The sequence below is a fragment of the Homo sapiens genome, chromosome 9, assembly GCF_000001405.40.
Source record: "Homo sapiens chromosome 9, GRCh38.p14 Primary Assembly".
Classification (NCBI taxonomy): Eukaryota; Metazoa; Chordata; class Mammalia; order Primates; family Hominidae; genus Homo; species Homo sapiens.
Genome location: NC_000009.12, coordinates 123,866,731 through 123,879,367, shown reverse-complemented (window position 1 = coordinate 123,879,367; position 12,637 = coordinate 123,866,731). Strand labels below are relative to the sequence as shown.

At 38.8% G+C, this 12,637-nt stretch overlaps 1 protein-coding gene across 28 annotated transcripts in view; it reads left to right on the top strand.

Moving 5' to 3' along the window:
- The window catches only part of DENND1A (DENN domain containing 1A), a 550,469-nt gene that overhangs the window by 50,759 nt on the left and 487,073 nt on the right, over window positions 1–12,637 (top strand). For 27 of the 28 annotated variants that reach the window (NR_148208.2, XM_047423624.1, XM_047423622.1 and 24 more), the window contains exon 2: window positions 347–417. The exons of the other annotated variant lie outside the window; for it this stretch is intronic. Coding sequence is in view for 26 of the 27 variants with exons in the window: in XM_047423621.1 (XP_047279577.1) it covers window positions 347–417 (71 nt within the window). In the remaining variant the exon portion in view is untranslated. The remainder of the gene's footprint in view (window positions 1–346; window positions 418–12,637) is intronic. 28 annotated transcript variants of the gene reach the window in all.

The following is a 12,637-nucleotide window of genomic DNA, read 5'->3' as shown; positions in this document are numbered from 1 at the left end:
AGAGACAGGGTTTTGCTATATTGCCCAGGCTGGTTTTGAACTCCTGGCCTCAAGTGATCCTCCCACCTTGGCCTCCCAAAGTGCTGGGATTACAGGTGTGAGCCACCACACCTGACCTGTATATATATATATTTCAAGTTTTACAGTAATTCTTTGGCTAAGTGTTTTCATTTTGTAGTTTAGGAAGGCATGGTCTCAGAGAAATAGTGTAGCTTGTCCAAAGTTCCACGGCCATTAAGTTGTGAGCTAATGATTTCAAGGAAGATCTGTTTAATACCATAGCCCACATGTTCTATACCATGCTGCCTCAATCTTTGTCAGTAATCATGATCTGTTTCTTTTGTAGGCAGAATCCAGAGACCACATTTGAAGTATATGTTGAAGTGGCCTATCCCAGGACAGGTGGCACTCTTTCAGGTACTTTGCATGTTTGATTATGATATGGTGTGTTACTTATTGTTTGAGATAGCTATGCACGTGAGATAATATGTGAATATGAGTAAATTGTTATTTGTCTTTAAGTATGTTTAAGTGCCTTTTTCCTTTTATTCATGCTCACATTATCCTAGGAAGAATGGAGAATGAAAACACAGTGAATAGTCTGAATTAAGAGTTCAAGCATAATAGGCTTGAAGTATGGCTTTATTCATTGTAATCATTGGGTCTTGGTTTGCATCTTTCACAGATGCCTGGAAGTCAACTATTTAGTGTGAAATATTGTCACCTTGCTAATGAGCAGGGCTTCACCTCTAGTCTACCAATCTAATGGTAGAATTAGATTATAGGATACAAAATAATATAAAGGAAATTCTCTGCCACTAATCTAGAAGGAGATGCTTGGACTTAATTTAGTAAATTTTATGTCTGCTGGCAAAAGAAGGTTGAAAATTAGTTGAAGGAAACACCTCCTCTGGCTTTAGCTTTTGGGCTAATTTGAATATGTGTTCCTGGACAAGAGGGTCCTAGGAAGGACCAGGGTATCTTGTGCAGGCAGCATATATTTCTTCTTAAAATCTTTCTTGGTTAATGAGAAAAATAACCTTATGATCTAGTGTTCTTTTTCTTGGTGCCTAAGAGGTGATACATTTTGCCAAAGGTATGTTTAGGACTCTTGGTCCACCCACAAAAACACCTGCATATAATAATATTATTTTTTTTTTTTTTGAGATGGAGTTTTGCTCTTGTTGCCCAGGCTGGAGTGCAATGGCGTGATCTTGGCTCACCGCAACCTCTGCCTCCCGGGTTCAAGTGATTCTCCTGTCTCAGCCTCCCGAGTAGCTGGGATTATAGGCATGTGCCACCACGCCCAGCTAATTTTGTATTTTTAATAGAGACAGGGCTTCTCCGTGTTGGTCAGGCACGGAGAAGGCATTTGTTAATATGAACAAAATCTGAAAGGTACAGATGAAATGGAAGAATGAACAAAGTGAATAGCATTTATACTACTTCCTATTTCAGCCATCTAATTCCTCTCCCCATAGACAACACCTTTGTTTAACTCTACAGTTTATTTTTTAAACTTTTATTTTATGTATTTATTTTCATGAGATGGAATTGCTCTCTTGTCACCCAGGCTGGAGTGCAATGGCACAATCTCGGCTCACTGCAGCTTCCGCCTCCTGGGTCAAGTAGTTCTCCTGCCTCAGCCTCCCAAGTAGCTGGGATTACAGGCGCCCGCCACCACTCCCAGCTAACTTTTATATTTTTAGTAAAGACAGGTTTCACCATGTTGGCCAGGCTGGTCTTGAGCTCCTGACCTCAGGTGATCTACCCACCTCGGCCTCCCAAAGTGCTGGGATTACAGGTATGAGCCACCATGCCCGGCCTGTTTTTTTAACTTTTTGTTTTGCAAGTATTTTATTTTATTATTATTATTTTTGAGACGGCATCTTGCACTGTCGCCCAGGCTGGAGTGCAATGGCATGATCTCGGCTCACTGCAACCTCCGCCTCCTGGATTCAAGCAATTCTTCTGCCTCAGCCTTCCAAGTAGCTGGGATTACAGGTGCCCACCACCACGTCCGGCTAATTTTTTGTATTTTTAGTAGAGACGGGGTTTCACTATGTTGGCCAGGCTGTCTCGAACTCTTGACCTCGTTATCCGCCTGCCTCAGCCTCCCAAAGTGTTGGGATTACTTACAGGCGTGAGCCACCGCGCCTGGCCCTTATTTTTTAATTAGTATAAGTTTAGGGGTTACAAGAGCAGTTGTGTTACATGCATATATTGCATAGTGGTGAAGTCTGGGCTTTTAGTGTACCCATCACCTGAATAGTGTACATTGTACCCATTAAGTAATTTCTTATCCCTCAGCCCCTCCCACCCTTCTGAGTCTCCAGTGCCTATTATTCCACACTCTATGACCACGTGTACACATCATTTAGTTCCCACTTATAGGTGAGAACATGCTGTATTTGACTTTCTATTTCACTTAAAAGAATGGCCTCCAGTTCCATCCATGGAACTGCAAAAGACATTATTTCATTCTTTTTTATGGCTGAGTAGTATTCCACATTTTCTTTATCCAATTGCCCATTGGTGGACACTTATATTGATTCTGTATCTTTGCTATTGTAAATAGTGCTTCTATAAAAATATGAATGCAGTTATCTTTTTAATATGATTTATTTTCCTTTGGGTATATACTCGGTAATGGGATTGCTGGATCGAATGAATTGTTTTGAGACTATTTTAAGAGTTACAAGGACAGTCCAGTGCGTATGCTCTTTCCTTAGATTTGTCAATTGTTATTATTTTGCTGCATTTGCTTTATCACCCCCCCAATACATACACAGCACATATGTGTGCATGTGAGTATACACACACAGAATTATTGCTGGATCATTTAAGAGTGAGTTGCAGACATTATGACCCTTCACCCCTGCATATCCAGGAGATATTCTGGATATATCTCCTAAGAATAAAGACATATTCTTATATACCCCTAGTATAATGGTTGAAATCAGAAAATTTAATATTGATATAATGTCAGTTGTCCATATTTAAATTTAATCAATTGTTATATCATGTCCTTTACAGCATTTTCCCTATGACCCAGAATCCAATCCGGAATCATGCAGTCCATTTAGTTTTCATGTCAGTTTACTTCCTTTCAGCCTAGAATAATTTTTACAGCCTTTCTTTGTCTTTTTTGACATGTTTTTGAAGAATTTGGGTCTGTTGTTTTGTAGAAAGTTCCTGGATTTGTATCTGTCTGATTGGATCTTCATGATTAGATGCAGGTTATTGGTTTTTGGTAAAAGTATCTCAAAAGTGTTATGTATTTTTCAGTGCATCCAGTAAGCAGACCATGATATCTGTCCTGTTATTTGTGAAAAAGTACATAAAACATATGTATAGTTTAACAAATAAGTATAAATTGAGTAACCATGTTATTATGATCCAGGTTAAGAAATATAATGTTATCCAGTTCTTCAGAAATACTGGTCCTGGCAAGAGGGACCCCTGCCTTGGCCTGATGCTTTAGAAGGATCTGCTTTGTCCCTCCTCTACCAGTGCCCTTTCCACAGGGCAAGGAGTCTCTGGGGCCTACGGAACATGGTCACTTGGAGACTAAACCCTTCCATCCTAGACCATGCTTTGAGCACCCAGCATCTCAGAACTTCTTGCCCAAATGGCCTTGAGCTTGTTTCTGGAGCCTGTGTGAGTCTCTCCCCTGGGGTCTGTCCTCCTGGGAGTGGACTATGCTACTGGTGTATACATCCCTAGGTCTAAGGGTGGCCTAAGGATAGCTGTCAGTGGGGAATAGGGTATGGGATAGAGCTTGCAGTACAGGATGGAGAGGGGGCTGTGGGCAGTGAGCCAATGGCCAATTTGCCCTGCACCACTGCTTTTCTCCATGGAATGCAAAATACAAAAACACAATATGAACCTGGCCTTCTAGTCAGTTGTAAAGGTATATTTATTATGGCAGGAGGATAGAAAATATTTAATAGTTTGTATGCTTGTTTTAAAACTTTTAAATATTTAAATATTCAGATGTATGGTCTGTAGGTCTCTATTTGAACCCTTGCCTAAGCCCTGTAAATGTTACAGGTGGGTTTGCCCAGCACCCCAGAGGCCCCTCCCTCCCTGCCTTCAGAGGTAACTACTATCCTGACTTTTATGATAATCATCTCTTTGTTTTTCTTCATAGTTTTGCTACATAAGTATACCTCATTGAAAAAATATAATTGAATTGTGCCGCCTTCTGAATTTTATAGAAATGGAATTATTCTGTATGTAGCTCTGCTGCTTTTTTGCTCAATTATGTTTGAAAGGGTCTTCCGTGTTGTGTGTAACTGCAGTCATAGATTTTCATTGCTGTGTAGTGTACTATAGAATTATTTCAGAATTTAGTTATCCATTCTACTGTTGACCTTTGAAGTTGTTCGCAGTTTTTGGCTACTATAAGCCATGCTACTGTGACCTTTCCTACGTATGAATCCTGGCACATGTAAACATACATTTCCATATAGAACATACTTGATTACTGAATCATGCCATACTTTTACAAAATGGATTGTGCCAGTCTGTACTCCCACCTGCAGTGTTTGGTAGTCTACACTTACTGCTCTACAACTTCATCAGCCCTTGGTACAGTTAGATTTGACTTTTGCCAACCTGATGGTTATATAGTAGTATCTCCTTGTTGTTTTTTATTTGCTTTTTGTTGAAGACTAATGAGATTGAACCCCTTCTTATATGCTTACTGGCTTCTTACTTATTTGTTTGTTTATTAGTTAGAGACAAAGTCTTGCTCCTTTGCCCAGCTGAAGTGCAGTGGCGTGATCATAGTTCATTGCAGCCTCGAACTCCTGGGCTCAAGTGTTCCTCCCACCTTAGCCTCCTTAGTAGATGGTACTAGCCTCCTTAGTAGCTGGTATAGGCTTATTGGCCTCGTGAATATCTTTTATAAAGTACTCATTCAGGCTACTTGCTCATTTTTAAAATTGAGTTTTCTACCTTTTCCTCATTGGTTTATAAGAAATTGTTTATATACTATAGATATTAATTATCTGGTTATATGTGTTATAGATATCTTCTATGGTTTGTCTTTGTATCTTTGACCAAAACTTCTTGGTTTTAATATGGTATAATTTATCAATATTTTCCTACTCTACAAAGATATTTTCCAATATTTCCTTTTTTTCGTTTTTTTTTTTTTTTTACTTTTTAAATTTTATGTAGAGATGGGCTCTTACTTTGTTGCCCAGGCTGATATCAAACTCCTGGATCAAGCGATCCTCCCACTTCAGACTCCAAAGTGTTGGGATTATGGATGTGAGCCACCTCTCCAGGCCCAATATTTTCTTTTAAGGGATAGATAGGGCCGGGTGCAGTGGCTTACGCCTGTAATCCCAGCACTTTGAGAGGTCAAGGTGGGCGGATCACAAGGTCAAGAGTTCGAGACCAGCCTAGTCAACATGGTAAAACCCCGTCTCTATTAAAAATACAAAAACTAGCCAGGCATGGTGGTGCATGCCTGTAGTCCCAGCTGCTCGGGTGGCTGAGGCAGGAGGATCGCTTGAACCTGGGAGGCGGAGCTTGCAGTGAGCTGAGATTGTGCCACTGCACTCCAGCCTGGGTGACAGAGTGAGACTCCGTCTCAAAAAAAAAAAAAGAGAGATAGATAATTTTGCCTTTTACATCTAAGTCTTTACTAAGGATATTAGTTTTCTATTGGATGATTAATATTCAGAAAAGTTAACCTCTAAATTTGATTCCTCATCGGTGATTTTTAAAAATTGGGAAACTAAATAAAACTTATTTACTACAATATGCTATGTCTGTACTTAAAACATTTTATAAAGTGATCAGGTACTTCAAACCATACCTAAAACATTACCTAATGATAAAAAGATGTGAGGTGATAAAGGGTAAACTTTGAGGACAGTTCTTTTTTCCATTGATTGCTTTTAATGTCTACACTAGTGAAGTCATGTATTGTAAACTGTCCCTCATGTGTTCTGTGCTCTGAAGAGCATCTCATGACATCTGTGGAAGGGCATGTGATCTGTCAGTTCTACTTAGAAATTGCATTAAGACCCCTAACACTGAATTGGAACACTTTCCAAAGATTGTACAAATAAAATTTGAGTACACAAGCTGAACTCCATATTTTAGGAATTCATAAGATTTTCTAGTTACTAGTTACCAGTGAATAAACTGTCACTTAATATTTGATTTCAGGTACCTTTGTCGGTTTCTACAGCTTTATTTGTTTTTAATACAACTTATGTTTGCCTTTTTCTAATATTTAATGCATTATTTTTGCCATTTTAGATGATTACAAAGAATCTGCTTTAAGATTAGTCTTTGTTCCTAGGATCTGCATCTCTGATCTGTGCCAAAGTATCTGAAAAACTTAGATATAAACCTTACGCTGTACAGTACTAGTGTCTGGGCATAATCTTCCCTTTGAAGTTTGTTTGCATCCCCCTAGAGGGATTAATTCCCTGCTGTGAGAAGGTGGGTTAGAAAGCACTGAAACTACTTTATGGGTCTTTAATTGGAGGATTTAGTATACATTTTGTTCTATAAACTTCTGTGGGAGTTTCATTCTTACAATTTTTCTTATACTGTGGTATGTTATATTTTCATTGTAAATTAAAGTACATATACTCAAATTTTTCTTGTTATTTAGTGCATACTGACAGATTATCCTGGTGTGTGTGTTTTTTTCCATTTGTCTTTAAATTTTTAATAGCTTGTTTTCTGATTAGTTCTTGAGTATGTAAAATTTTAAACTTCTTGGAAAATGATGAACAAGAGAAAAATTATCACTCAATAACTACTGTTAATGTTTCAGTATATTTACTTCCTTATTGTCTTCTTTTGTGTGTGTGAATGTGTGTGTAAATAAAATATAAAAACTTTTTTTCTGAACTCTCAGCTATATGTGTTTTCCTCACTCTCTCCAATTATTCATTAAGCTTTCCCTAAAATTATTAATGTTGATTTGCAGAAATCATTTTAGTTGCTATGAATTATTACATCATGTTTATGTTCTACATTTACTTATAACGGAATCTTCAGGTTGTTTCCAAAGTTCTCTTGTTATAAATGATGTAGTGAACATCTTTGTGTATAATGCTTGTCAGTTTATGTATGTAATTTAAATGCTTAAAAAAAGTCATATCATTTTGAGGAGATCTTTGATCTACTTTGTTCTTAATTTTTGTATGCTTATTTTTTTTTGCCACACTTCATTTTGTGACTCCAATTGGTGTATTGGTTTAAGAACCTACCTTTACATAGGGATCCCAGAAAATCAAGACAGTTAGCTCAAATTGCAAAAACTCTGAAGTCTGAATTCAGTCTGTGCGACCAAAGGTCTCGGAAGAGGGTGCTCTTGTAAGAGAGATCAGCCTGCAAGGTCCCATGATCAGATGACACTGGCCACACAAAAACTCTGGAATGCATTTCAAACACAAGTGTCTCATTACAGCTGGCATCTTAGCCTGCAGCGGGCACTCTTCTTGGGCAGATGCTTAGCACTGGGAGACTGGCAGCATCAGGTTCTTCAGAAATGCTTGGCAGACCAGCTTCCTCCTGTGTCTACCCCACATCCCCCTACCCCAACCCCCAGCATTTTCAGTGCATTAGCCCAATGGCCACTTTTTAAAAAGAATGGGGTGGTTAGGTTGAGAAACTGTCGGGGAACTCTGAAAGGCATGCCTAAGACATGGTGCTTTGGTTGCTGAGTTTCTCAGATACGTGGGTGTTAAGCAGCAACATAAAAAAAAATCTTTGCTTAGAATCTCTTAACTAACTATACACATTTCTATATTAGCAGTATCATGAAGAAAACTGAGTTTTTGCTGACTTAAAATATTGAGAGCCAGATTTGTTATTCTGAAGTTTAACTTTCATTTTACAGGACTGTAAATTGTGGTCTAGGAGCTTCACCTGAATATCTGTGATCACAATGGATACTCAAAATTATTAGACATTTTTAAAAAGCTGATTTAAAAAACATGATGCTGGCTGGGTGTAGTGTCTCACGCCTGTAATCCTAGCACTTTGGGAGGCTGAGGCAGGTGGATTGCTGGAGCTCAGGAGTTTAAGACCAGCCTGGGCAACATGATGAAACCCTGTCTTTACTAAACATACAAAAACATAGCTGGGTATGGTGGTGCATGCCTGTGGTCCTAGCTACTCAGAAGGCTGAGGTGTGAGATCACTTGAGTCCAGGAGGTAGATGTTGCAGTGAACCAAGATTGTGCCACTGCACTATAGCCCAGGCAACAGACCTAGACCCTGTCTCAATAATAATAATAAGATTAAAAACAACTTGTTGTCTCCTGAGAAGTGGTATGGCGGGGGGAGCTCTTTTGAGAGTCAAATTTTATTCCAGATTAAAATGTTCTAGAGAGATATTAATTAAATTCATCTTATTTTTTTTCAGTAATAATGACAGTGAATGACAGCAAGCTTGAAGAATGGCAATAGAATAGCTAACTTTCCTTGAGTCCTTATTATGCCCCAGGCACTTTTCTTAATATTACTTTCTTAAAGCTCGAACAATTCTCTAAAGATGGCTCTTATGTTTGAGGAAACTGAGACTCAAAGAGGTTTACTTGCCCAGGTTGGACAACCACAAAGTCGTAGAACCATGAAAAAATAGCTGGTGAGGCCAGCCACGGTGGTTCACACCTATAATCCCAGCACTTTGGGAGGCTGAGGTGGGCGGATCACGAGGTCAGGAGATCGAGACCATCCTGGTCAACATGGTGAAACCCCGTCTCTACTAAAAATACAAAAATCAGCTGGGTGTGGTGGCATGCACCTGTAATTCAAGCTACTCAGGAGGCTGAGGCAGGAGAATCGCTTGAACCTGGGAGGCAGAGATTGCAGTGAACCCAGATCACGCCACTGCACTCCAGCCTGGCAACAAAGCAAGACTCCGTCTCAAAAAAAAAAAAAAAAAAATTAGCCGGGCATGGTGGCGGGCACTTGTAATCTCAGCTACTTAGGAGGCTGAGGCAGGAAAATGGCTTGAACCTGGGAGGTGGAGGTTGCAGTGAGCCGCGATCACATCACTGTATTCCAGCCGGGGCGGCAGAGTGAGACTCCATCTCAGAAAAAAAAAAAAAAAGCTGATTAATATTACCTGTATGTGCAGTGGTTAGAACAGTCAGATAAGGTTAATGTGGGGGCAGATAAATCAGGATTGTACAGAAAATCAGGGGATATGTGGTTTTATTCATGAACTATACAAGGGATTCTTATATTTGTCTGTTAAGTCAGCACGATTACTTCAGCTATTCTATATTTTTTTTATCTTGCATTTTCCAGTGAAAGTGAATCCATCTTATGGAGTGTTAGGGCTGGGCCCTGATTCTTTTTTTTTTTTTTTTTTTTTGAGACAGGGTCTTGCTCTCATCACCCAGGCACTCTTACATAACAGTTTCAATGGCGTGATCATGGTTCACTGCAGCTTTGACCTTCCAGACTTAGGTGATCCTCCCACCTCAGCCTCCCCAGTAGCTGGGACTACAGGTGCACACCACCACACTCAGCTAATTTTTGTAGAGATAGGGTCTTGCCATGTTGCCCAGGCTGGTCACGAACTCCTGGGCTCAAGAGATCCTCCCACCTCAGCCTCCCAAAGTGTTGGGATTATAGGCATGAGCCACCGCACCTGGCCTGGACCCTGATTCTTGATACTATAGTTGGGACAAATTGCCACTCACTCAAAAGACATGGATTGTTAAAAACATTTTTGTAAATTTTCCTGGCTCTGAGTACTTGACATGCTAGTTAGAAAAAGTCTTGTTTGGGATAGAGATGTGGAAATTCATCTAACTGTGCTTTTTTCAACTGATTTTAAAGTCAGGGATAGCTGACTTGTTTAGAAAAAGAAAGCTTTACTCAAGATATCACTATGAGCTTGTAATATGCTTTGTCTCTTTTTCTCAAGATTGCTGTAATAATGATTATTTCTTTAAACTGGAGGTGAGCCTAATGAGAGCTCATTATAATAAAATTCTTGCCCACCACCTAATGAAGTAAGAAATATTATTCTAATTATATAGGTAAGAAAAAGAGGGCTCCATGAGCGCAGAGATTATGTCTTGCTTGCACTTGTATGCTTTGGTAGCTAGAAGAGTGCCTGGCATACATTAGGCCCTCAAGTATTTAATGATTAAATCTTAGAGCTAGGAAGCAACTTGTCCAAAGAACAGAGTGACAGAGTTGGGATTTGAATTCTAGTGTGACTGTATTCTTTAAAGAAATTTATGAAAGCTATCACACAAATTATATAATGCATATGTATGTATACAGTTTAAAGAATAAATGAAAATGCACATATCCACCACTCAACTTAGAAAACAGAACATTTTGTATCTTTGAGTACTCCATTTATGCCTCTCTCAATTTGCCTTTCTCTACTGAGATCACATTTTGAATTTTACGTTAATTGTATATCCCTGCTTGAAGCTTGTGCTTTTTATATACTATGGTGATGCTCTAAATTGGTTATATAGAATGAGTTTGAATTGCTGTTCTTAGGAAGTAACAAAGTGAGCCATATATTTTCTTTTCTTAATGCTTAGTTATTTGAAGCAGATCCCAGATTTCTTCTTTTTCCTAAAGTGCGCAATTTAGGGGCCATCTGGGTATAAATTATGATATAGGGGAGCCTTAGAATTTTTGCTTTATTCATGACACTGTGGTTCTTCTTGCTGTGTTAGTGGTTCACAGTATTAGGCCTCAGGCCTTCTATGGTGGACCGGGAATTCATTGATTTACTAAACTTTGAAATCCTTTTGAGCAGTGAGTTTGTTGAATTTTTAAAATTCCCTCCACATGCCAATCTCAGAGCCTCATTTTCTCAACTCTAAAATGGGGCACTAATAGTACCTGTTTTAGTTGAAAGATTAAATGGGAGTGCACCATGCATGGGACATGGAAAGTTCTTTATAAATGGGAGCTGTTATTTTAACTTACTTTTGTTTAAAGCAAGAGTTTATATCTGTGTGGAACTCTGCTACTCAGCAACTGTTATCAAATTGACATAACTGAAAAACAGAAAGTAAAAGTAACTAGACAAAGTAGATTTCTCAGAGTCTATCCATTAAAACTTAAGTTCTTTAATCACAGAAAAGCCCTCAGCTTATGCCCTGAGTGCTTCAGTATGCCGGGAAGATTTCTCTGTGCAATATTGCTCAGCAGTTACTGATCGTGTCAATGACATCAATCATTGCATCAGTCAGGATCCTTTTCACTGGAAGTGACAGAAACCCAGTGAAATCCGACTTGAACAACAAAGGGAATTTACTGGCTCTTAACACTGAGAAGTCCAGTGGTAAAACTGGCTTTAGGTTTTGCTGAATCTAGGTTTTCTACTCATATTTTCAGAAATTTTCCCTATCTCTTGATTCTCTGTCTTCTGTGTTGGGTTCATTTCTGGGCAGGTGCTCCCTATAAAGTGGCAAAGATGGTTATGAATAAATCCAAGCTTATGTTCCATCAGTTTAACACCCAAATAGAAAAAGAGTGTCTTACAGTATCTTGAGCCATAGTCCCAAGGCTGACTCTAGTAGGCCCTGTTTGGATCACGTACCCATTCATGAACCAATAACCATGACTTTTGAGTTGTTGATTGGAGGATAAGGGAGTGTGTTGGGGGAGCAGGGGGAGAACTGGGGGAGCTGTTCAGGACCACCTGGATCCTATAGCCTGAGAATGGGGCAGGGTGGTTCCTCAGAGGAAAATCTGGTGCTATTACTGGAGGAAGGGAGAACGGATGCTGGGCCGCCAAAACAGATGTCTACTGCAGCCATCAAGAAAATGTTTGATTCAAAATATTCTTTCCAAAAAAGCAGTGAGATAATAATGAAGCTTGGAAACATTTATAACTAAAATGATTTAAATCAAGTTTTAATGCTTAAAAATACCGATCTTCAGGTTTCTTGAAAACTGCCATGTAAGACTGATTTCCCCAGGAGTCTACATGCCCGAGGTCTTATTATCACACTTCTAAATCATTAATCACCTATTCTTTGAGTGTTCACTTTAGACTGTGCTAGACTCTGTAGAGAGTGGAACGTTCACCCTATAAAACAGGAACTAGACCTCATGTTTTAAATGCTTAGAAGACTTTTTTTAAAAAAACCTTTAGGAAGTTACATTCTAGCTTTTGAACTTCTGTTGGTATTATTTCACAACACATTTTGCATTTCCTTCTTTATGTTACATTGAAAACATGCAGTCCGCTCAAAGGCTTTCTTTAGAAAAAGAAAGCTTTACTGAAGATATCACTGTGAGCTTGCTTTGCCCAGCAGAAGACTTTAATAAGTTGCTCAATTTAAAGACAGTTTTCTTACCTTTAATATGTTCTTAGACATTAGAATTTTCTGCTATCACGAAGCCTTATTTGAGGAGAAGATAGATGCAGATAAATTGCTGTCTAGATTATAACAATGTCCTTAATTATCTTTGAATAATTTGTAATAAAAACAGTATAATGGCCAGTCTGTAGACTTTGAAATCAAACAGACTTAGGTTCAGATTTCTTTTGCCACTCATTAATTGTTTGACTTTGGGAAAGCTATTTAAACTAAATTCTGGTTTGCCCATTGTTTAAGTGGGACTTCTATCTACTTGGCAGGTTGTTTTGTAAATTAGAGAT